At 37.3% G+C, this 23,542-nt stretch overlaps 1 protein-coding gene and 1 long non-coding RNA gene across 16 annotated transcripts in view, besides 1 other annotated feature; one reads left to right on the top strand and one right to left on the bottom strand.

The window, feature by feature from the left end:
* Positions 1,755–22,760, bottom strand: SPDL1 (spindle apparatus coiled-coil protein 1). 13 transcript variants are annotated; one of them, XM_047417344.1, is made up of 13 exons: positions 22,644–22,760; positions 19,161–19,334; positions 17,958–18,139; positions 15,309–15,485; positions 12,985–13,179; positions 12,239–12,388; positions 12,041–12,139; positions 11,852–11,962; positions 9,832–9,972; positions 7,954–8,057; positions 7,374–7,561; positions 4,908–5,253; positions 1,755–2,473 (listed from the first exon to the last, which is right to left on the bottom strand). In XM_047417344.1, exons 3-13 carry the CDS (start codon positions 18,114–18,116, stop codon positions 2,326–2,328), a joined length of 1,818 nt encoding a protein of 605 aa, XP_047273300.1. In that variant the 5' UTR covers positions 18,117–18,139; positions 19,161–19,334; positions 22,644–22,760; the 3' UTR covers positions 1,755–2,325. The 13 variants fall into 13 exon arrangements, with proteins under 13 accessions (XP_047273300.1, XP_047273301.1, NP_001316572.1 ...); XM_047417345.1 differs by having other exon boundaries at positions 19,161–19,272; NM_001329643.2 differs by lacking the exon at positions 19,161–19,334 and adding an exon at positions 15,704–15,780.
* Positions 22,133–23,133: an enhancer, noted in NCBI's record as "NANOG-H3K27ac-H3K4me1 hESC enhancer chr5:169010404-169011404 (GRCh37/hg19 assembly coordinates)". NCBI's record gives its function as "activates a minimal SCP1, AML or CMV promoter by ChIP-STARR-seq in naive and primed H9 embryonic stem cells {active_cell/tissue: H9 hESC(naive and primed)}" and the evidence as "EXISTENCE:reporter gene assay evidence [ECO:0000049][PMID:30033119]".
* LOC105377714 (uncharacterized) overlaps positions 22,872–23,542 on the top strand; it is a 126,055-nt gene continuing 125,384 nt past the window's right edge. For 2 of the 3 annotated variants that reach the window (XR_941200.3, XR_941199.3), the window contains exon 1: positions 22,872–23,150. This is a non-coding gene — a long non-coding RNA (uncharacterized LOC105377714). The remainder of the gene's footprint in view (positions 23,151–23,542) is intronic. The other variant, XR_941198.3, reaches the window with a different exon arrangement.

Here is a 23,542-nt window from a genome sequence, read left to right as displayed (position 1 = left end):
CAAAGTATAAAGTTAGGTTATTAGTTTGAGAGCTTTCTTTTTTAAAATGTAGGCATCTCCAAATATAAATTCCCCACTGAGGGCTTTTGCTTTCGCTACACTTAACAAGTTTTGTTATTGTTGTGTTTTCATTTTCACTCATTTTAAAATATTTTAAAATTCATCTTCAAAATATTTCCCTAGTGATTTCTTCTTTGATTCATCTGCTGTTTAAAGAGTGTATTGTTTTATTTCTACATAGTATTTGTGAATTCTCCAGATTTTCTTGTTGTTGATTTTTAATTTCATTCCATTGTAGTCGAGATACTTTTTCAACTTTTAAAATTTATTGAGACCAGATTTGTGGCATAACATTGGTCTGTTTTGCACAATGTTCTGTGTACACTTAAGAAGGTGTATTCTCCTTTGGGTGGAGTATGCTACATATTTCTTTAGGTCTAATTGCTTTATAGTGTTATTCTGAACGTTTCTGTGAGGATGTTTTTGGGTGAGATCAGCATTTAAATCAGTGGACTTAAAGCAGATTGCCTTCTCTAATGTGAATGGGTTTCATCCAATGAATTGAAGTCCTAGATGGAAAGACTCACCTACCCCAGCAAAGGGAAATTCTGATGCAGACAGCCTTTGAACTTGAACTGCAGTGGCAGTTATCTCCCTGGGTCTTTAGTGTGATGGCTTTCGGACTTGAACTCATCAGCTCTTCCCTTCCCTGGTCTCCAGTCTGCTGGCCCACCCTACAAGTTTGGACTTGCCCCCACAACCATGTGAACCAATTCTTGAAAGTAAATCTTTATATACACACACATCCTATTGGTTCTATTTCTCTGGAAAACCCTAATTCTCCTACCTATAGAATATATGAAATTGTTGTAAAACTATAATCATTTAAATGAAAGAGTATTTGGAAAGTTTAGAATTAAATCTATCTATCTATCTATCTATCTATCTATCTATCTATCATCTATGTATGTATATATGCAGATGCTCCTTGACCTACAACGGGGTTACAATTCGATATACCCATAAGTTGAAAATATTAAGTCAAAAATGCATTTAATACACCTAACCTAATGAACATTATAGCTCAGCCTAGCCTGCCTTAAATGTGCTCAGAAAACTTACATTGGTTTACTACTGGGCAAAATCATCTAACACAAAGTCTATTTTGTCATAAAGTGTTGAATATCTTATGTGATTTATTGAGTACTGTACTGAAAGTGAGAAACAGAATGGTCATATGGGTACTTGAAGTACAGTTTCTACTGAATGCATACTGTCTTTGTACCACTGAAAAGTCGAAAAATCATTAAGTCAAACCATTGTTATGTCAGAGACCATCTGTATATGTACATATAATTAACCATAAAATTATATATAAAATTATACATAAGGGAATTAAGAATTCCTGAGGTTTCTTTTTTCCTCTTATTTATTTCCCCCACTTTTTTTTGAGACAGGGTCTTGCTGTGTTGCCCAGGCTGGAGTGCAGTAGTATGATCACAGCTCAACTACAGCCTCGACCTCCTTACTGGGCTCAGATGATCCTATCACCTCAGCCTCCAGAGTAGCTGGGACTACAGGTGTGCACCATCATGCCCAGCTAATTTTTTGTATTTTTTTGTAGATATGGGGTTTTGCCATGTAGCCCAGGCTGGTCTCGAATTCCTGGGCTCAAGCGATCCACCCGCCTCAGCCTCCCAAAGTGCTTTTTACTCCCTTTTGATAACATCCTGTTACCTATAGAGAGTAAGAAATTTAAGGATAAATCACTGCAGTTTTATTTAAAATTTTAGACAAAATTTAAATCATGTATATAAATACAAAGATGAACATTGGTTCTTTAAACACTGACAAAATCCTGAAACAATATAATGTATATATTTTAAGCCACATTTCCTATTTTTACAACATAGTTTACAACCTTCCCATTTTTACAACATAGTCTAAAACTAAGTTTATAAAAAAAAGTACATAGGAAAATATGATTGAAGCATTCTCAAATACATGGCTCTGAGGGTAGATTACTTGTTTTTTATCATTTAATCCATATACAATGCAGCAAATAGATACATTAATTATAACATTTTCCTTCAATTAATAGTTTATTCACTGTCATAGAAGCTCCATGAAGGGGCATCACTTAAGAAGCTCTCCAGGTTAGAGTCAAGCAAATTCTGAACACTTGGTCAAAGGCACATGAAAATGCCAGGTCCTGGCACAATGAGTAAATAACCCAGAAGGTGATATATGTCAGATCAAGACAATCTTAAGCACCATAGTAACTTTTGAGGCAAGTGGCACCGTACTCTTATTAAAGACAAGTCTTTACTGTTGAGGGCACTGGGTCTCTGGAGTAGATTTAGAAGACACATATAGAATAGGGTGTAATTTCTTACAAGTTTCTTTTTCCAATTTGCTTGAAGTTTCTTTTCCTTCTTTAACTTCTGTTTGAAGCTTTGATTCAGCAGCTAACCTACAGGCATTAAAGCATCCACTCTGAATTCAAATGTGGTTATGAAGGATTGAAGAAACAAACCCCCAGTATAATGGGCCTCCAATAAGGCATGGTATTCAAGGAAAAAAAATATAGTTGACTCTAATACTGTAAGAATATTAAGTCACTGGCTGTCTAAAAGTCTTTTTATATCAATAGGCTCAATTATTGTTATTATTACTTTTTGAGACAGAGTCTCACTCTGTCACCAGGCTGGAGCGCAGTGGCATGATCTCGGCTCACTGCAACCTCCGCCTCCCGGGTTCAAGCGATTCTCCTGCCTCAGCCACCGGAGTAGCTGGGACTATAGGTGCGCACCCCCACATGCAGCTAATTTTCGTATTTTTAGTAGAGACAGGGTTTCACCACGTTGGTCAGGATGGTCTTGATCTCTTGACCTCGTGATCCACCTGCCTCAGCCTCCCAAAGTGCCGGGATTACAGGTGTGAGGCACCACGCTGGGCCAATTATTTTTTAAGTCTAAAGAATATCTTTAAAAAGTCATGGCAAGCCCTAAATTAAAGAAAATATGACAGGGCACCTATCATGATAAGCACACCTAACACAAAAACTGAAATGTTACAGCAATATTTTAATGTTAACATGACATACAAAAGGCAAGACAAAAATAACATGGAATCTTGGGCTGCATGAATAGATGTCTATTTGTTTCATATTAAAAAATTGAGTTTCAACTAGTAGAATAAAGAAAAGATAAACAGTAGAGAGATTCTTAAAGGCCTGTAAAGATTCTCGGTAACAAGAACACCAATTAGTTTTGTAAAGCATGCAATAGTGAAGTTCCCAATAAAAGCCATATTTATTGTTCCAAAATTATCTTAGGATTGTGTATCTAAGTTAAACAGGCAGAAAACAAAGAGTCGGAAACATTTTAAGTTAGCAGATGGACTCACACACACACACACACACACAAATGTTTTGTGGTATTTTATTTTTTGTTTAACGAACAAGACAAAAAGTTTCCAACGTGCTACTTGAGTCAATTAGCCACATACATTTGCTTAAGTGATTTTTTATCAAGCAAAAAAAGGCAGAAAAAGGAATGAAGACAATACAGATAGCAAGGCTGGCACTTATCAATTCTGGAAATCCACCTCCAGAAATATACACTGGTCAAGGATGTTTATACAATGCATCACATATAAACAGGCATAATCTGCTGGATTCATTTCAGAACTCTTTGAAACCATGGGTATGTGGCAGATACTCATTTGAAGTTACTTTTTCCTTAAGAATGGTAAGCTTTTATTTTATGTGACTCAGAGGTTATAACATTCTATAAAAATCCAAGGAGGGAGTAATAAAATTACTATGCCTTATAATAATAGCAGCTAACATTGTTAAAGTGCTTTTACTGTTGAATATTACATTTAGTAGCACTGAAGACTTGGAGAGAAATCAGATAAAACATATAAGCCCTTTTAAACAGGGCTGTCTTACTCTCTCTACTCAAATGCACATTAGTAAAATGTCTTATTAATCTGTCTCCACTCTCTAAGACTAAGGTAGCCCTAGTAGCACCTTCAACATCTCATTTCATAGGAGATAATCTAGGCTAGTTATTGGCACATCTTTTTGAATGTCTAGATATTTGTTTTAAATGCCTCTAACAATCCCATTGCATGCAGACATCCTTCATCTTTCTTTTACTTTCTTCAATTTCCTCATTCACTTCTCCTGCTGCGCACATCCAGAACTCGAGCCTCAGCCACTGCTACTTACCTTTCCCTTCCATTCACTTTCTCTTACCTTCTGACCTCAATTATTTTTATTAAGACAAAGCCCTTGGGACATTAATTCCTTCAGACACACATATCTGACGCTATTTCTTTTAGTCACAAACTCAATTATGCAGAAACTAGAGGCTTTCAAGTTTTGGAAACAATGAAAATGAGTTAGCTTTGATATGTAAAAATGTCAAAATAAGTATTGAAGCCCATTTTTGAATGCCTAGGATAAGCAATTCAAAAGACATAAAAAATTCACCTAAGTTTCCTAGAAGGCTGAAATTTCTTAGACTACTGGAAAGCCCTTTGAGAAAGTAAGTTAATTTTTCTTTCATGGCCATGCTTGAACCAGGAGAAAAATAACAGTACATGTATTCAAACTGATAAAACATTCAGAGATGTGTTAAACTGTGATATTCCCTTTCATGAAACAGAAACGTGTAACTTTTTAATGTGATTGCCTTATTCAAGAGTCCTTTCCCTTTGCAATCAGTTTAGTCTTTCTTAAAGTTCTGGAAAAGTTGAAGGTAGGTAGATGAAACTGAGGAATTATACTGCATGCAATTGTAAGAAAGTAGATAAAGAAACAGACAGCACAGTTCATGCAGCGAGAGAGGAGAGATGGAGAGGTCTGCTGGCTGCCTGGAGGAAAAGAGGACACTGACCTGGGAGAGTTAGGGGTGTTTCCACTTCTTTCACTTAAGGCCTCAGCGTCAGCGGGAACTCCTATGAGTTTCACACATTTCTTTTCCTTCTTCAGCTGCATATCCACGGGCAGATTTTTGTGAGGAGAGAGACTGACTACTGGTGTGTATATAGAAACTGATTTTTCTAATTGCAAGTTGTTATCTTCTAAACTGTTAGGGCAGGACTGTGTCTCCTCTTTCTGAGGCGGTAATCGATAAACTTCTCCCCCGAGAGCACTGTTGTTGACACATGCATCTTTAGCGGTGGTTATATCCACAGGGAGCACCTCACGCCTCTTTTTCAGTACAGGCACTTCAACTGTCTCTGAGAATAAAAACGAGTGGGGAAAAGAAAAAATCTAAGAAAACAAAGACACAATCAACACAAGAAGCCAGAACTAGTTATATGTATACCTTTTTCCATTCTTTTAAAATGCAACCATCTCCTCACTGAAATGCATCCTTTGTTTCTACCTTTTATTCTTTATCATGGAATCTATATAAACTATATATTTTAAAGTTTATTTGGCTATATATTTTTCCTTGGGAATTCAATATTTTGACTTTAGGCATGAATGCTTCACTGTTCTCTCTTGGTGTTTTGAAAAAGGTGGTTCATAAGATCTCAGTGTGGAGATGAAGAGACAGCGGCAGAGTCCAGGTTCGAATCCTAATCCTCGTATGTGACAGCCATGTCTTTGGGGAATTATTTAACCTCTCTGAGCTTCATTTTATCTGTAAAATGGGGATTAAAAGCACCCACTTCACTTGGTATTGTGTATTAGAAGGATTAAATGACAAGAATAGGCCAAACTTTCTGAATATTGGTAATATATGCCTGTTAGCTCTACCTACAAAATATAAGCAGAATCAGACTACTTTTATGATGGATACTTCCCTAGTCCAATCCTATCATGTCTCATCAAAGACTACTGCAATGCCTTCTATCCTCATGGCCTAATATCATTCTATCTAAACAGGTCATAAACACAGCCACTGAATTAACTGCTCTAATATCTTTTCCCTATGCCCATTATCGATGTGTTTCATTTTCAAAATCAAAATGTTAGTGGAGTCTGAGGAACACTGGTAGCACAAGGGGTTGCTGTTTTTGCTCTACATTGTTGCTTTTAGACCATGATTTCCCCTTTTTCTGGCACTGCTCCTTTGAAACCCACATTATCAGGATTCACTACCCTGCCTCCTGTCTATTTGCTGTGTTCAGTTCAACAGATGTTTGAAATTCATAATGGATAATTCTTAATCAGGGGAGCCTATTAGAATCATGGAAGAAACAAAAAGAGTTAAGAGCAAGAGAAGCCTTTTAAAATTGTGTAAAAACCTTCCTATTTTTGGCAACCTCCCCACTATTGTTGAGAATCATAGCAGTTCACTGAGACAATACGAAGAGAGACTGAGGCATGTGCAGAGTGCGGGGACAAAAACTTGTTGAGAATCCTTAACCTAAAACATGTAACACTCTTTTAGGGAAGGGGTGTTGTAGAACCATCACATTCTTAGACTCCTTCACACTTGGCCTTTTGTTTTTGAATTTACATACAGTAAACTTCACTCTCTGTAGTATATAAGATGCAGAGACTGTATGGTTAGGCTACTTTCCAGCTCAGTCATTAGACTTGCTAGATATTCCCTAATATGTTTCATTGTTCTTTCCTTTCCCCCCCATTTTGGTGGAGAATGGGGTCTTGCTATATTGCCCAAGCAAATCTCAAATTCCTGGGCACAGCTATCCTCCTCCCTCTGCCTCCCCAAGAGCTGGGATTACAGGCACGAGCCACCACGCCTGGCTCACTGTTCTTCCTTAATAAAAGAATTCCCAATATTTAGTTAGGAACATGGCCCCTGAGAATCAAGACTGCATTTCTCAGCCCTTCCTGTCAGCAGGTGAGGCTGCATGACTAAATTCTGCTCCACAGGATGGCAGCAGACCAACAAACACAAGAAGCCTGAATCTTGATACCGTGGAGTGCTTTCCCAGTCCTGGAAGGCCTCCTCCAGACTTCCATCAGAGGCAGAGATAAAGACCCACCTTTTTAAAGTCTCCATTACTTTAGATTTTCTATAAACAGTCCTACCTCGTATAGCTTCCAAACATCAGCTGCTTCAACATAATTAAACTATTAGGTATGACATAAAATACTGTAATCTTAAAATGGGAAAGTCTCAAATCTCAAGTTTCTACTATACAGTATGATGAAATTAGATATCCAAAAAGGATACATGTTATATTCAGGCACACCCAGTATCCAGTTCTCCCTGAATTTTCCTACCTATTTTACACAATAAATTTGCTTTATTAACTATAGGTATATAACTACAAATGAGTTTGTAATAGAGTTGCATAAAACTACAGTAAGAAAATAATTTGATATAATTTCAGGTTACTCATAATTTAAAAGACAAAAATATATGAGACATATATACCTTCAGGTTCATATTTTAGTTTCAATTCATCTAGTTTAGCTCTCAGTTTCATATTTTCACTTTCTGAAAGCTGGAGGCATCTTTCATTTGCAAAAAGTTTTCGCTCAATATCTAGAGCCCGCTGGCTCTCAAATAATGCTTTCATTCGCTGTATGGACAATTCACCTTTAGTGCTTTCAATTTCTTTGCTATGATAATAAAAAAGGAGAACCAACGAGTATTAAGACAGCATATAATAAGTGTAGTGGTATAAATATTTCATCGCATATTTGAATTCTTAGTTAAAAATACATTTTTCTGGGGTTTTTAGTAACAAAGAAACAATAAACAATTTAAATAATCCTTAACAATAGTAGTGTTAAATTTAAAAAATACTCATGCATTCTTGAAAGGAAATGGACAAAGGAGGAAATAGTCTTTCAAATGTATTCACACATGAATATCTGCACAAAGATATTTTTGTTACCTTTCTTTTCGGAAAATTTCCTTTGGCAATTTCAAAAAAACTTTGTAGTCACTGACACTACCATAGTAAGCAAGTGACATGTTCATCTTTCCATCCACCAACCCAGACACTTACTTTAAGTTATCCAGCTTCATCTGAAGTAAATCTGTATAATAGGTGTTATCTTCCAGAGTACCAGAGTCGACTGAAGGCTTAGATTCCATACTGTCATATAAATTCTTAAAAAAGCAAAAGTTTGTATTACTTAAAATAAATAACAAATAAGGTTAGTGTATGTTTATTAATAATAGCACCATCACTTCCTGAATTTATATCCCTTGGCGTACTACGCTAAGAACTACCCATTTAATTTATCTGCCTTCTGAAGTAGGTAAATAATTAACATTCCTCTCTTACAGATAAGGAAACAGGCTCCGAATACAGATGAAAGTAAACCAAGAAGAGAGAACCTGAACCCAAATCTGACTACAAGGCCTAGGCTTCTAGCCTTACCTACATGCTCTGCCTTCTCTCTCCTGGCTTTGAAAATAGAAAAACAAATGCCTGCTGGATTAAATTCTGGCCTTTGTAACAAAACCATAAACTGGAAAAATATGAAAGGAAGATGAGAGCCTTACATTTATATCTGGTGTCCCCCTCTTCTGAGATTCTTCCCCCCACCCCAGGCAAGAATGTAGTGCAAGCTCTTCTGAGACTGATGGAAACTATACATTTCTCTAGTGGGATAGAAAAGGTAAATCTGCTTAAAAACTTGAAACAATTTCAGGTTATAAATAAAATTCCCCTGATTTAAGGCCATAATTTTCAGAGTATAGTTCTGAGCCCACTGATGGAAACATAAGGCTGCCAACTTAACCAAATTTGTAGTTCTTTCAACAGTTTTTATAAGACACAGAAATAAAGTTATGTAAACTTAATTAAGATTTTATGACATACTAATGGCTACAATTTAGAATGCCTAAGAGGTTATTAACATTTACAAAAATTTGTCATTTAGAACTTTAGTTCATTAGGAGGTTAATGAAGATATCAATGTTCCCTAAGTCAATTTATAAAATCTTAAATTGCATGCAATTTTAATAGAAAGCCAACAAGCTTTTTTTGGTGCTAGACAAGATGTTTGTAAATGAAAGCTAACATTCAAAAATAGACAGGAAAATACTGAAAAATAAAAAGTATAGTGAGGAAATAGTCCTACCAGATAAACATACTTAAAAGCCTTTATAATTAATAAAACAGTGTGGTACAGACACACAGAGAAGCAGACCAATGGCGTAGACAGAAAATTTAGAAACAGACTCAAGTATATATGGAAACTTGATGTATGATAAAGGTGTCAACTCAAATCACTGGGATCAAGATTGATTTTTTAACAAATGACTCTGGGACAACTGCCTACTTATTTAGAAAACATGGGTGAATTCTTACACACACACACACACACACACACACACACACACAAATGCTTACACAAATACCATTCTCAACTAAAATAAACCAATGTTCCTTGAAGAAATGCTAATCCCAGAAGTGGGCCAGGTGAGCTAGGAAACCCTTGTTGTGCCATAGAGTAAGGAAATATTCAAGTAAGAGCACTTCGACTATCAAATCTGGGACAATTTGAGTATCAGAGTAAATAAAGCAAGCAATGGATTATAACTCATAGGATAAAATAAGAATCCATGAGGCTATACTGATATAAATGAATGAGTAAGTGAGGAAAAAGATTTTTCTTTTCTGTCCCTTTACTAAAATTCCAACTAATAAATATAGAAGAAGTGATGGAATTACCCATTTAGCAATCATCACAGAATTATGTTTCAGGCAAGAATCACCAATGGATGTTTAAGTATAAGGAGAAACAGCCATTTACTTAGTCTCAAAGTATCTCCCACAAGATATTTATTAATAATTTAAACTTAAAAAACAAACCAAATTTTAAGATATTCAAATCAAAATTTGGATGTGTGTTTTTTTAACTGTTATACATACCTTAAATTTCTCCAGATTTCTAATTTCACCTAAAAGATGTTTTATTTCACCATTCTTCTGCTCCAACATGGCAAGCAACCGTTCCTGCTGCTCAAATTCAGTTTGAGACCCTTTCATCTGTAGCAACGTGGCAATTTGTAACTAGAAAAATAAAATTACCCCCTCTAATAAAATTAAGTGAGAGAAAGATTCTGATAACTACTTTTTTGATACAATTCATAATTTGTACTATATTACTTTGAACTCATTTTGGAAACTAAATTAGCTATTTCTAATCTAATAATAAATTTTTTTGTAGACATAACATTTGAATACTTATTTTGACTACTTATGAATGATAACTGAAGTCTGTAATGTAATTATTTGTACTTTTGTGAAACATAAAACTGACTTGCATGGCTGTGGTCTGAAAGCACACCACTGAACTGGTAAGTAAGCCTGGCCAAACGCTGCAGACTGCTTATCATAAGCACTCGCTCTTATTAAGGTTCTGATGGGTTTCTCAAAATTTTTAATTAACTTTAATTAAGTGAGGAAAACTAAGCTACTGACAGCCACAAATGTTAGATTCACAAATGACGTTAAAAGCAAAGATAAAAGGCTATCTTAGTATACTGGGGTAATCTTCAATATACCATGTTTTAATTTTTTTAGAGCAGCACTCAACTTACCTCATTATACCTCCCCCACCCCAAATCTGGAGTTGTGAAGCTACCAGAGGGAAATTAAGTAGACTCTAAATCTAGCATTTCTTTCTGCCTTTGGAAATTTCTGGAGTTGAAAAGAGTGCCTATTAGTTTAAATATAGTTTTGAGTAAAACAATCAATGATATGAGGTTGCAGATGACTTTTAACATTTTAAAGGATATCCTTTTTGTTCCTGTTTCAGATTGGAGGCTAGGCCCACTTAGCCTAAGACTCAGAATGCTTCTAGTCTCTAAAGATAGTTTGGGACATATGCAACATTGGTAGATTAAAAGTAACCCCAACAAATACTGTAAGAAAACTAAAGTAAACGTGAGAAAATTTATAAAGAAATACTTCCCAGACAGGGGAGAGTCTCAGGAAATGAGGCAGCACAGTCTGGAAACCCTTAGAAATAAAATTCACAGCTGTTGTTCATTAAACACTCATTTGCCAAGTAGCAGGTTAAGTATTTTACTACACTTTCATTTAACTGTAGGACAATTCTAAGAGGGGGTTCTATCATCTTCACTTAATAGATGAGGTACTGTTGCTTTCAAAGTTAAAATACTTGTCCAAGGTCACAGAGCTAGCAAGTGACAAAACTATGATTCAAACCCAAATCCACCTAACTCCCAAATTTAATCATTAACCTTTCCCATTTCTTTGGCAAAGCCCATGATTCTGAATAAAAGGAAGGAAGCCTTTCCAGATTCCAATTACTACCTCAGTAGAGTGAGGCACAATGGATGAGGGATCAGGATTCTAAGGACTGTTACAATACTGAAATCTTTCTAATTCCCACATGTTTTTCTGCTACCTCTTATTTGGCTAGAATGACAACCAACAAAACCCGTAAAATTAAAAGGGTCTATGTGCTTGACTTGAGGAGCTACAAGGAAAGGGAACCCTGAATAATCCAAATTTCACTCCATAATAAGCCTTGGTGAAAGAGCAGAGGAATGGTGAGGCAGCGAGTTTCAGCTGAAGTAGGAACCCTAGGGCTATGCTTGGAAAGACATCAGGCCAAGAATAAGAAATAAATACTTTTCTTTCTTCTACTCCACAAAGAAAGATTTAAGTCAAAGCTAGTGAGTAACCATTAAAACAAACAATAATCATTGCTAAATATACTATTACTAAATATTTATTCCAAGATTTTTAAACTATAAATGAATCTTTTAATTTCAAAATTGATTTTTTGAAATCATGCAGTTCTAGAAACAACTATATAAGTACACTCCTTGCAGAAAAAGCTAGTTTCTTTGATGTATTCATACATGTAATGCTGACACAAAATTTGTTTAATAAACCTTTGATAGTGAAAGTTCTATACCTTCATTCTCTGCATCTGTTCTCTGTTAAATACATTTTGCTTCTTTAGTGACTGATACTTGACTTTCATACTGATGAGCTGACGTTCCATTGCTGCCCTTCGATCTTCCACCTACAAAATATTAACATGCTTAATTGTTCTGGTAGTAAATGAAAATACCAATTTAGTAGTTAGGATACTTATAAGTACCTCTGCAAACAAAGAGTTGCCTTTACTATTGGGATCCAAGGCTTGCTGGAGTGCCTGGTCCAACTGTACCTGAAGATCTTGATTTGCTACACGAGCTTTCTAAATTCAAAAGAAAACAATTTAGGCAACAGAGATTACATTAGCAAGAAAATAAGTTATGATAAATTGGAAAACATGATGTTACTGTAATCATAGTACCTCTAGGGCATTATAGTAAGAAACTGCTTCTTTCTCTCGCTCCTCTTTTTCCTCTTTAAGCCGGTCTACCTGGCGCATTAGGTTAGTAATAAGAAGTTCTAGCTGTTCTTGTCTGTATTGTAGTTCATTCACTTCTTCTTTGAGGGTGGTCTATTTAACAGGAATTGAAAAGGAGGAAATTCTCTTGAATAATCTTTCATTTGGCAGCTGCTCAGTTTATCTCAGTTGTGGTTCACATCCAAAATTAAAACTAAAGAACCAGTCAAAAGTTGTCAGGTACATTCTAAAATAATAGAAATTACTATTACTGTTAAATTTTTCAACAAGGAAACAAATGGCTTTAGAGACTGCCCTTTTTCCTCTATCAATTTCAGGCTTTAATTTTTAATTAACCTTAGCTTTCAATGAAAAAACCAAGTTCACATGCATTTCAACTTCCACTGAGCCAACGTTTTACACTGGGCTCTTACGATAAAATCTGGGATCAGAGTATATGCCTCTAAATTCTTCCAGACGTTTCATTAATCTAAGAGAAAGGCTGCCTTACATAATCATATAGTCTAAAGCTATATTATGAATGAAGTCATCCACCTAAAAAAAACCCATTTTTTAATTAGTTAGATGCAAGTTAGGTCAAAAAATGTTTCAGCCTTCAAACTAGCTCTTAAGAATTATTACCAAAACATGTAAAAATATGCCAGAAAAAAAAAGAGAAAACCCTGAGAAACACATGCCATAAAAATTACCTTCATACTCTCCATTTCTGTCAGCTCAATTTGAAGAGCCAGCATCTCTGAAGACATGCTTTCCTGCACACGTTCAGACATTACGCGCAGTTCCTCTGATTTACAAGAGAGGAGTTCCTTCTGATGATCTACTTGGTGCTTCAGCTGCTTTTCACTAAGCCTGGCTTCATCTAATTCCACTTTCAGTTTTTCTATCTAAAGCCAAAAAAAAAAAAGTCATAAATTGAAAGTTATTTTCTTTCTAAAAACAATCACTGATTGAACTGATTGAACCAAACTTACTGAATGATGATACTATTGGAGTTTCCTATTTGCCCAAGGTTAGGCATCTTTTAACAGCTAGTGACACACCTTGTTTAATAAACATAGAAATAATCCATGAGTAATCGGGGTGGGTCTGGATGCCTCAGAAGCAATCTGGAGGCACTATGATGCGGACCACTTGGCTACTGTGTGAAGAATGACTGGCATGAAGAGAAACAATGGAAGCAAGCAACCTGGTCAGAAGGCTACAGCAGTAGTCCAGGAAAGAGATGATGAAGGTCTGGATTGGAGTGGCAGTAGCGTCATAGATGTTTTGTAGGTCAAGTTCTTAGAACTTGATGAATTAAATGTGAAAAATAAGAGAAGAAAAGGTATTAAAAAAATCCAAATTTTGGCATAAGTGATTTGAGAAAATCAGTAAAACAAAATATTTCACTAATGTACTCTTTGCTCCACCAAAAAAAAAAAAAAAAAAAAAAGCCATCTCTATAATTAGCCTTACCTCAGTCCTGAATACTCCCTTTATTACTCTTTTTTGTTTAGGTGATGAAAACTATTGCAAAAATAAAAATAACAACCAGAGGGGGAAGAAAGCACATCATTATCAGTCATTAGGGCCTCAAATCCGACTAGTTTCAGACAAGCTGGATGATATTATCTGTCAGAGTGGTATGCAAGATGATTATATATTACATGAAGGTATATTTAGATAGCTATGTTTGTTTTAGTGTATACTGGGAAAAAATAAGCAAGCTTAAATATGTAATTTTGGCCAGGCGCAGTGGCTCAGGCCTGTAATCCCAGCACTTTGCGAGGCTGAAGTGGGCGGATCACGAGGTCAGGAGTTAGAGACCAGCCTGACCAACATGGTGAAACCCTGTCTCTATTAAAATACAAAAATTAGCTGGGCGTGGTGGCGCACACCTGTAATCCCAGCCACTTAGGAGCCTGAGGCAGGAGAATCGTTTGAACCCGGGAGGCAGAGGTTGCAGGTGAGCCGAGATCATGCCACTGCACTCCAGCCTGGGCGACAGTGTGAGACTCTGCCTCAAAAAAAAAAAAAAAAAAAAGGAAAAAAAAATACTTTCATTGATGTTTCTTAAAATCAGTAAACATTAAAAGAGAGTCAATGAGAAATTAAGTAATAGTATAGGTGGTATACAGAAAAAGAAAAATCTTAGAGGCTGCTATACAAGAAGCTGAAAATTGGGTAACAGACTTCTGAGAAAGGAGGACAAAAGTCAGGCAAGTTTTGGTAGACAGTGTCTGGAAAAGTCAGAGTATAGACTATACACAAAGCAGATCCATGATAAAAAGTTCTGGATTCCTCAGAAGCAACCTGAAAGCACTGGCTAGCTGGGAAAAGGGAAAACCACTGACCAATCATTTATCTTGCGTTTATGTTTGAAATGGAGCCAGTGTAACATGCTGTTAGACTATGTAGTGATTCAGTAACACAGCCTTTGGAGTCAGACAGCCTCAGTTCAAACCTAGATGGAGAATTTCTAGTTCTTGAATTGTGTCCAATTTACTCAGTCTGTCTAAACACTGGCTCTTTCATCTGGTATATGGAAATGATAATGGTACCTTTCCACAATATTATTGTAAGAACTGGAGCACATGTATTAGTTTATCCTCAGTAAACAAACTATAAAGTGTCATTTGTAATGCACATTAACTAGTAAGAAACTACTGGTCTGTTTTACAGAATTACAAAGCATACCACTGACTGCAGGGAAGGCTAGGAGACGAGGCTTTCTGCAAGGGGCTGCTGTACCCACTATCAGCAAGGAGGCCATGCTAGTCACTAAACTAAACCTTCACAAATATCCAGCAACCAAAATTAAATAATTGTATTTAATTAATAGGATATAATTTATACAAGTCCCTTAGACAAACTCTTGTATCTCAGTGTTCCCACCCCCAATATTAAGATAATGAAGACTTAGATCTTGGCTATTTTGCAAAGCTGACACTTAAGAAAATCTTTATCATCTAAAGTTTACAGATGGCTGCATAAATATGGAATATTTTGTGCTGAAATACGCAGATATCCCAACCTTAGTTTTTAGTTCATTCACTTCCTGTCCATGGCTTCTGCTTAGTTGTTCTTCCAATTTCTCCAGGTGCATTTTTTGTTGTTGTTTAATAGCTTCACATTCGCAGCTCAAACTTTCTAACATTCGACTCTTGAGTTCAACTTCTCTTTGAAGGGTATATTTTTCTTGTTCATAACTCTGAAAACAGATTCAATTACAATTCAATTACATAAAAATAGCCTAAAGCCATTACATACAATCAGTTTTCAACTTCAATTGTTTCATTCTTATTTCAAGCATTTGCTGCTTTCCAAATAACGAAGACATGTTAAACCTGGAATAACTTTGTAGTTAATCAGTCTTAATAAACCCCTGAGGTGTATTTCGAAACTATGTTAAACCCATGCAAGGGATACCTTACTGCTTCTGTGCCTTGTCAAGGAAGTAAAATGTGCTCCATGGTATGTCAACACGTCAAGTCAAGTAATCTCTGCTAACAACAAAAAAAGATTTAACAGCACTTAAGCTTTCCTCATGAGAATTATTAGTTTGATAATGAGATGCTCTACTTGTAGCTCTGAACACAATGTAGTAGTAATAATAGTTGAAAAAAAAGAAATACTGAATTAGCCTTTACTTTCAGAATGTAGTCATCTGAGAAATGTCACAAAAGGTCTATCAGAATGAATGCAGAGCTGAGACAAAAGGAGTAATTAAAAGGGCTTTTGCTTACTCACAGGGAAGTTTAGACATTAAAAATGTTACAAGTACGAACTCCTTCAAGAGGCTTTAAAAAATGATAAAATATTCCCCTCAAAAACCATTTTATTTTAAAGGAAGACAAAGAGTATTAACTGTTAAACACTGAAATTTGACAAGTTATGACTCAAAATGATTAAGTATAACAGTTTTATTTTCTATTAGTGATATTTGTAATCTTTACTTTGCCTTTATGACTTTGCACTCAGTTCTTGGTTTACAACAGTACTATGTAGAAACACAAAGGTTGCCATCACTAGTTATTTTTACCTGCTACAGATATTTTTTACCTGCCATATTTACAATGTTGAGATTCAAGTTTAAATATGTTACTGAGCATTTGCTAAATTACCCAGATTTATTCATTCATTCTTTTAAGAAATAATCGTGTGGCAGGCATTCAGGATAGTGAACAAGGCATACAAAATTCCCTCTCTCATGGAGTTTATAATCTAGAGATAATTAGCAATGCAGATAATTAAGAGTGGAATCAGGGCCGGGCACAACGGCTCATGCCTGTAATCCCAGCACTTCGGCAGGCAGATTACGTGAAGCCAGGAGTTCAAGACCAGCCTGGTCAACATGGTGAAACCCCATCTCTACTAAAAACACAAAAATTAGCCGGATGTGGTGGCACACATCTGTAACCCCGAGCTACTCGGAAGGCTGAGGTAGGAGAATCTCTTGAACCCAGGAGGTGGAGGATGCAGTGAGCCAAGATTGCGCCACTGCACTCCAGCCTGGGCGACAGAGTGAGACCCTGTTTCAAAAAAAAAAAAGAAAAAAGAAAAAAAAAGTGAATCAGGGCAACTTTACATTACATAGTAAGGGCTGACCTCTCCGCTGAAGTGACATTTAAATGAAAGCTGAAATCTGAGGACTCAACCCAAGAGCAGTGAGGGGTAAACAACTCAAAAAAAAAAAAAAGGCAATAGCTGGTGTAAAGCCCATAAGGGAGGACCAGTATAGTCAAGAACAAGGCAAAGCAGTTTGAGGTGAGGTCAGAAGCTTGGCAGGGGTCAGGTCACATAGGGATCTACAAACCCAAGGATGGAGCTCAGATTTTGTTGTAAATAAAATCAGAAGCTGTTGTATGGTTTTTAGCAGGGCTGTGGCATGACCTTTGGTGTGTTATTCCACGACCACTTAGACGCTGAGTGAAGAATGAATGGCATGAATGGCAACAATGGAAGCAGGCAACCCGGCCAGAAGGCTACAATACTTGTCTAGGAGTGATGATGGTGATCTGGACTACAGTGCCAGTAGCAAAGATACATGCTTTGTAGTCTAGTTCTTAGAACTTATTAATGAGTGAAATGTGAGAAATAAAGGGAAGATATTGACTAAAAGTTCTAGATTTTTGGTATATAAAGAAACCAAAAATATACCAAAAATCTTTGGTATATAAAGATTTTTGGTGTTCAAGAAACTGAATGCTATTATATTTACTAAATAAGCTAAAAAAAATCGTAAAAGAATATTTGGTTAACGGACAGGGAATCCACTCTTCTGTCTGTGTTAAGTTTGAGAAGTCTATTAGTGGGCAGTTGAACACAAACCTAGATTTCATGGGGGAACTAAGGGCTTGGTGTAGTGTCATGGGGCACTTAGATGTTTAGAGGTCTAAAACAAGTGAGGTCTTCTAGGAAGTGTGCAGACAAAGCAAAATCTGGTAGTAAATGTGGCAAAGAGAGTAATGATAACTTGATCTTTCAAACTCTGAATACACTAGGGTGGAAAGAATAACAGGAATTCATTTAGTTCATTCTTTTTTAACAGGGACGGGGCAGGGCGGGAACTAGATCTAAAATCTTCAGAAAAGAATAAACTACTACTACTATTAATTGCTAAACAGGACAAATCTTCAATAGCTAAGCACACTCTTGCAGACAGAGGAGTCCAGAGTCCTACCTCAGTCATGGTCATCATTTCATTACGACATTTATCCAATTGATTCTGTAATTCATTTTGACTCTCTACTAGTTGTAAACCATACTGTGCAGCTTTTAGTCGCTCTTCTTCAGCCTCTTTGAGCCTGCATCGAAGATTTGTGATTATATCTGCCTCCATGTTCTTTTCTTTTTTTTAGCCAACTGTAAATAGAGGAAATAAAACTACTTAAGCTTATACAAAAAACTCCATGCAATAATATCAATAACAGAAGAAACATATCTACTCAATACTACTGTCGTATAAAAACATTAAAATTTTCTTCCTGACTAATAAGTAGTCAAATTTGCATTCTTGTTCCAAGAGCAAGAACTGTTCTGACAATTCTGTTACTGATTTGGGATCAAAAATTAAAGAGTGGAATAGAATACATTTAATTTTGCTTCTAAACAGTTCACCATCAGAAAACTGTTCAGTTGTTGTATGCTAAGCTTCCAATATGTTAAGGTAAGTTTGGTCTCATAATTGGACCACTATCCATATAATCAAAATTAAGGGAATAACAAAAAAGTAATCAAGAAACCTCATAGTAGCAGGTATGGTGGCTCATGCTTGTAATCCCAGCAACTGGGGAGGATTACTTGAGGCCAGGAATTCGAGACCAGCCTGAACAACATAGCAAGACTCCATCTCAATCAATCAATCAATAGAAATAAGGTGGGGATGGTGGCAAGCCCCCGTAGTCCTAGCTACTTGGGAGGCTAAGGAAGGAAAATTGATGGAGTTAGAGGCTTCAGTGAGTTATGATCATGGCACTGACAGAGCAAGACACTGTCTTGAGAAATAATAATGATAATAACAATAATACCACCAGAAAAGGAAGGTCTGGGTACTATAAACACATAAAATATAAAAAGGCAGCTGTGAATAAGGCTCATAAGGTAAAGTAAGAAATATCATGTCTGTAATTTTTCACAACAGTGTTAACTTCCTGAATATATTAAATCTGCTTTCCTGGAAAGAGATTCACTAGTATTTTTCTAGTTATTCATAAAAGTATGCAAAAATAGAAACCATATCCATAAGAATTAAAGGATGTTGCTTTCATTCTAGATTTATAAACAAAGACTTAAACATTATATATAGAAACATTCCACTTTAATCAACCTTACTAATTATCCTTTACTATTTGGTCCCAGCCTCCTAAGCGAGACTCAAACTCACCTTTGCCTTCAAAGGGCACCAGGTCATTGCAAGATGTTCCCCCATGTCTCAAGTCAATGTAGTCATTCACTGAACGAGTATTTCTTGAATGCCTTATATACTAGGTTCCATTCTGGGCAGTTCAGATTCATTAGGGAACAAAATGGACGAAAAAAAAGCTCCTCCCTCATGAAACTTACATTCCAGGAGGGGAAGATAAACAGTAAGTAACAGAATATTAATAAATTAGAAAGGGGAGATGAGAAAAAATAGAACAGAATAAGAATCTGGGAAGAAGGGACAGGTGATGTAACCAGGAGGCAGAAGATGAGAGAATCAGCCAGGCAGCTATTTAGAAGAAGAATGTTCCAGCAAGAGGGGAATCCTTAAGGCAGGAAGAAGCCCAGGGAGTGAAATTTGGCTAAGAGATAGTAGAGAGTGGGCAAATCAGGCCATTATAAGGACTTTGGCTCCTACTTTGGGTGACATGGGAAGTCATTCCAAAGTCTGGAGTAGAGGATCTGATATAATTTAAAAGAATCATTTTGGCTGCTATGTTGACTAGTTTAGAAGGGGAACAAGGCTGGAAGCAGAGACCATGTGAAATGGCTCAGACTAGGGTGGCAGCATAGGAGGCTGTGAGAAATGGCCAGATTTTGAAGGTTTTGAAGGTAAGGTCAATATGATTTTCTGAAAGATATAATTTGGGATGTGTGAAAAAGGGAAAAGTAAAAAATGCCTCCAAGTCTTCTGGCCTGAGCACCTAGTAAAATGGAATTGCCATCAGCTGAAGCACTGATGTAAATAATGTTTTGGAAATAAAATCAGGAATTTGAGTTTTGAACATGAACTATGTCAAGTAGGCAATTGGATATATGAGAAGAGGAATCTTGGCTGGATATGCAAATTTGAGAATTATCAGTCTATAGAGGATAAAAGTATTTAAAGAGAAATGGACCAACGACTGAACCCTGTTATGAGGTAGGGAAGAAGACAGCGGAGAATCAGGAGTGACCAGTGAGGTAGAAGGAAAACCAGGAGTATGTGTTGTCCTGGAAGGCAATAAACAGTGTATTAAGGAGGTGGGAGTAATCAATCATGCCAGATGCTGCTGCTAAGGCAATTAAGGTGAGAGCAGAGAACTGGCCATTGAACTTGAATTCCTGGAGGTCTCTGGTGACAAGAACAGTTTTGATATCCAGGTGGGGGTGAAAGCCTAACTAGAATGCCTTCAAGAGAGAATGGTAGGAGATAAAGATAGCAAGCACAGGTTTGCTGCAAAGGATAACGGATAAACGGAGCAGCAGTTGGAGAGGAAGTAGGGACAAGTTTTTTTATTTTTAAGATGGAAAAAAATAACAGTGTTTGTAGGTCATGGGATAAATCCAGGAGAGAAGAAAAACTGATGATCTAGAAGACACTGGAGAATTGCTAGTGATGTCCCTGAATAAACAGGATGAAGTTTAATGTAGAGACTGGTTTTAATAGAAGCATGGATATTTCATTTAAGCAAAGTATATGAGTTTAGATGCTGATAAGCAGGTACAGTGGTGGAAGTCTGTGTAAGTAACCTTTTAACTGCTTCAATTTATCAATGAATTAGGAAGCAAGGTCTTTAACTGAGAATGAAGACAAGGGAAGAGATACAGGGTTTAAGAGAGAAAAAAAGGTGTTCTAGGTAATCCCAGCTTGGCAGTCACTGCTCTAAAATGCAAGACCTTTTCAAAGCCTGTACATGATACGGCCAGCCAACTAAATGTTGTACTGTTCACAATAACTTACATTCGTTGAGGATTTACCATTTGCCATGCTAACTGCTTCAAATATATTATCTCATCTAATTATCTTGATGAGCTTGAGTTAAGTAAATACTGTCATCTCAACTACCAAAATAAAAATAGGGTTAACCTCAAGACATTCCAGCCAGGCATATCCAGAGAAGCCAAAAAAAATTTGCTTTAGTTTATTCAAAAAATTTGCTGGAATTCTTATTGTGTGAGACATTGTGCTAGTGTTGACAACACAATGGCAACCTAAAACAATATTCCTGTCTTCTTGAATCCTAGTCTATTAGTAAAAGACATTAAATCAAGTAATTGAACTATCAAGTTACAAGTATGATAAGTGCAAGAGAGACAGATGTATGCTACCTGAGCCTGTAACAAGGGGGAGCTGTCCTAATCTGGGGGGCAGCGCGTAGAAGGGAACATGGACAAAAAAATTTTCCTGAGGAAGTAACTTTTCAGCAGAGGTCTAATGGATGAGAAAGAGTTAACCTATCAATCTACAAAGAGAGATAGCCGTGGTTGATTAAAAACTACTAATGTGTGACAGACATTGTGCTTGGTGCTTTATACACATTCTTTTTTTTTTTTTTGAGACGGAGTCTCGCTCTGTCGCCCAGGCCAGACTGCGGACTGCAGTGGCGCAATCTCGGCTCACTGCAAGCTCCGCTTCCCGGGTTCACGCCATTCTCCTGCCTCAGCCTCCCGAGTAGCTGGGATTACAGGCGTGAGCCACCGCACCCGGCCGCTTTATACACATTCTTATTCAATCTTCTCAACAACTTCAAGAGGTTGAAGGTATTTCCCTCATTTTACACATGCAAGCTGAGGCATAGAAAGTTTTAAGTAACTTGCTTAGGGTTACCCGCAAGTTAAGACGCGAAGTGTGATGGGAACTAGAATCTACCTAGAAACCATGGTGCTGCAACCATTTTTCCTGTCCTGCTTCTCAAAAATATAGCACACACAAAGCATTTGGGACACAGGAAACTCTGGGAATCAAACTGCCTGAGTTCTTACCCCGCCTCCACTACTCACTGGCTGCATGAACTTGGACAAGTTATTTAATTTCTGGTTTAATCATCTATAAAAACAAGCACAATAACACCCACCTAATCGGTTACTGAAAGGATTAAATGAGATAACGAATGAAAAGCAATTAGGGTAGAATCTGACACACGGCTGGGGCAGTGCTGTCCAGCAGAAATATAACGCGAGTCATGTACGTGATTTTAAATGTTCTAGGAGCCATCATGATTTAAAAAGTAAACAAAGATGAAAAATTAATTTACATATTTAAACAAATACACTCAAAACATCATTTCAACATGTAATCATTATAAAAATTATTAATGAGATATTACTCCTTATGCGCTATCTCTGAAACCCAATATGTATCTCCCATCTGCACCATTTCTTAGTTCGGGCTAGAGGCTACCGTACCGCACAGCGCAGATCCAGTGGCGGTTATAATTTTGAGGACCCGGCAACCGACCCAACGTTCCATATTTGTCCAGAATCCCTGAGGGCGGCGAGGTGGTCCAGCGGAAGATAAGACCGGCTCGGAACCCAGTGTATAAGACCCCAGGGTTCCGGGGAAGGAGATGTTTCAGCTAAAGGCCTCGGCCGAGACCCCGGCCCCTAGCTTTCTTTAGGGCCTGTTCGACTCTCCCCACTGCCGCTCTCCACACCCACCTCCCACCAGGCCCCTTGCCCCTACCTCTCACGCTAGTCCCCTGCTGCCGCAGCCAGCGGCTCCTAATGGGAGCTCAGGGCGTCCACATTGAGGACGCTAACTCCACAGTCGCCGGCCCATTCGCTCAGCTAGCTCTCGAGTAAGCGCCTGGGATATTTGAATGCAGTTCCCGCGAGAAGTCCCACGTCTCACGAGACGTCCGCCCAAGCCGCGCGGAAAGGAAAAACCAAGAGAAACGCCCAATGGAGCGCCCACCCCCTCCTACAGCTACTGCGCATGTGCAAGTGGCGCGCCGTGGGCTTGGCGCAGGCGCAGGCGCAGACGTGGCTCCACATAAATTTTTCCTTGGGCTGGTTTCCTGCATGTCTTTTAAGTATTTGCTTTTAGTTTCCGTGTTTTGGTGTTTTGTTTGTTCGTTTTTTTTTTTTTTTTGTTTTTACGACAATGCCTTCTAGGGGAACAGTGTCGCTGGGCTGGGCGGTGGAGAGACACCTTTGGCACCATCGTGCGATCTCATGCACCCTACCAGTGGTAATACTGGCGTTAATATTTAAGTTCCCACCATGTGTTAAAGTTTACAGATTATCTCAGTTAAGCCCGCAGCCTTATGAGGCAGATATTACTCCTCGTTTTCTACAGAGAAAAAGCCCGAAGAAAAAAAGTGCCTTGTCCAAGTGGTAGAACTAGAATTGAATGCAGTCTTAGAGTCCAAGCTGTTTGCATGTGTTTTTAATAATAATATTTTGTAACCCTGATGCCTATTCAAAAATTGAAGCGATCAGAAATAATAATAGATAACATTTAATGAGCACTGATGAGTCCTAGTAACTGTTACATGAATCATGTCGTTCTTTCGAGCCCATCTTTTCTTGCCTATTTGAGAACTTGGCTCTAACTGCTCTTTTTTGCATCTTCAGTTTTTT

Source organism: Homo sapiens, chromosome 5 (genome assembly GCF_000001405.40).
Source record: "Homo sapiens chromosome 5, GRCh38.p14 Primary Assembly".
Classification (NCBI taxonomy): Eukaryota; Metazoa; Chordata; class Mammalia; order Primates; family Hominidae; genus Homo; species Homo sapiens.
This window is presented reverse-complemented; position numbering and strand designations above follow the sequence as displayed.